Below are 2498 nucleotides of genomic sequence, written 5' to 3' on the forward strand. Positions count from 1 at the left end.
TTTCTTTGTCTTTAACTTACCTGATTTGATACTGTTCCATTTTATCTATCTCTATTTAATAAGCAAAGCACATTGAACTGTACCTGGAACTTTGTAAGTGCTCCATAAATTATAGTTTTTATAAATAGAAGTCCTATTTTATAATATGGTGCCTAGATCACACGTGGAAAATTATAGTCAGTTTAAGATGAAAATTGATAAACTAGGGTATATCACCCCAAAAAACTGTCCAAGATAATGAGTATCATTCTTGCCCTAAGAATAGAGACAGTAACACTACCCAAATGGCTCAACAATACAACTACTGTGTATAAAGTAAATGTGGGGGAAAGGAGCAATGCTGTGGCTGCTGGGAGAGAAGGACAATCCATGGTTTATAGTAAATGAGGAATGAACAAAGCCAGACATCTAAGCATTCAACTTTGTTATGGGAAAGCCAGAAGGAGTGGATTTCCCACTGTAGCTTAAGAAAGGTGATTATTTTAGAATATTGCATAAATGTATAAAGGAAAAGAAATGTAGTAGAATCAACTCCATGCAAAATTAGGGGCTAGTTATGACAATGGGTTTTAGAGTGGCATGATATACAGTGTGGCACTATGCAGGTATGGGTTGAAAATTAATAATTATCTTAATACATATCAGGTTGTTTATTAACTTTCTATTATTATGTTATGAGTTGGGTTAGAAAATACAAAGGAACAAAGACAAAATGAGTCCTCTGATAACCTGCAGTTTAGTAAAAACATAAAATACAGAAATAAATTGCATTATTATAAAAGAAACATGTGCTGTGTTCAATATAGGCACAGACGAGAAGGGAGTATCAGGAAAGATTCTCAAGAAAAGGAGATAATTGAATTTATGTTAAAAAGATAAATATGTTTCCTCCAAGTTGACTAGGAAAGGTCTTTCAGATAAGAGGCTATCATAACATTAAGCACAAGAAAGTTAAATTATTATGAAACAGTGTGGAAAATTCAAAGTGCCAGGAATTCAGTACTATTGGACTATAAGAGGTTACCAGGCAAATTATCTGACTTCAGATTTTACTTCAGATCATGGTGCTGGCATAAAACAGCATGGTACTGGCATAAAAAAGACACACAGCCTGATGGAATGGAACACAGAACCCAAAAGTAAATCCATATATCCACAGCGAACCCATTTTTGACAAACGTGCCAGGATCATACACTGGAGAAGGAACAGTCTCTTCAATAAATGGTGCTGGGAAAACTATATTTCCATGTGCAGAATAATGAAATTAGGACCCTATCTTTCACCACATACAAAAATCAAATAAATATGGATTGAAGACTTCAATCTAAGACCTCAAACTATAAAACTACTAAAAGAAAACATTGGGGAAACTCTACAGGACATAGGTCTGGGCAAAGATTTCTTGAGCAATACTTCAAAAGCACAGGCAACCAAAGTAATAATGGACAAATGGAAATACATCAAGGGTGTGGTAGCTCATGCCTATAATCCCAGCATTTTAGGAGGCTGAGGCAGGAGAATCACTTAAGGCTAGGAGCCTGAGACCAGCCTGGTCAACAGAGCGAGATCTTGTTTCTACAACAACAATAAAAAAAGCTAATGTGGTGCTGTATGCCTGTAGTCCCAGCTACTTGGGAGGCTGAAGTAGGAATACTGCTTCAGACCAGGAGTGAGCTATGATTGTACCACTGCACTCCAGCCTGGGTGACGGAGCAAGACCTCCGTCTCAAATAAATGATAGATAGATAAATAAATAAATGATAGATAAATAAATAAATACATAAATAAATGGCTTCTGCACAGCAAAGGAGGAAACCAAAAAAGTGAAGAGACAATTCACAGAACTGAAGAAAGTGTTTGCAAATTATGCATCTCACAAGGGATTGATAACTAGAATATATGAGGAGGTCAAACAACTTGGTAGGAAATAAATCTGATAATCTGATTTAAAATGAGCAAAAGATGTCAATAGACATTTGTCAAATGAAGACATACAAATGGCCAACAGGTATATGAAAAATTATCAATATCACTAATCATCAGATAATTCAAATCAAAACTACAGTGAGATATGATCTTACCCCAGTTAGAATGGCTTTTATTCAAAAGAAAGGCAACAACAAATGCTGGTGAGGATGTGAAGAAAGGGGAACCCTCATATACTGTTGTTAGGGATATAAATTAGTATAGCTACTATGGAGAATGTATGGAGGTTTCTCAAAAAAAAAAAAATCTAAGAATAGAACTATTACATGATCCAGCAATCCCACTGCTAAATATATACCCAAAAGAAAGGAAATCAGTATATTGAAGAGATATCTGCATTCCTATGTTTATTACAGCACTATTCACAGTAGTCAAGTTTTAGAACCAACCTAAGTACTCATCAACAGATGAATGAATAAAGAAAATGTGTTTTTTCCCTAAGATATCAGAGTAGAGGCTTTTAATGTGCCTCGGCCACCGAGAAATAGCAAGATAGTGCATAAAGATCAAC

Source organism: Homo sapiens, chromosome 4, assembly GCF_000001405.40.
Source record: "Homo sapiens chromosome 4, GRCh38.p14 Primary Assembly".
Classification (NCBI taxonomy): Eukaryota; Metazoa; Chordata; class Mammalia; order Primates; family Hominidae; genus Homo; species Homo sapiens.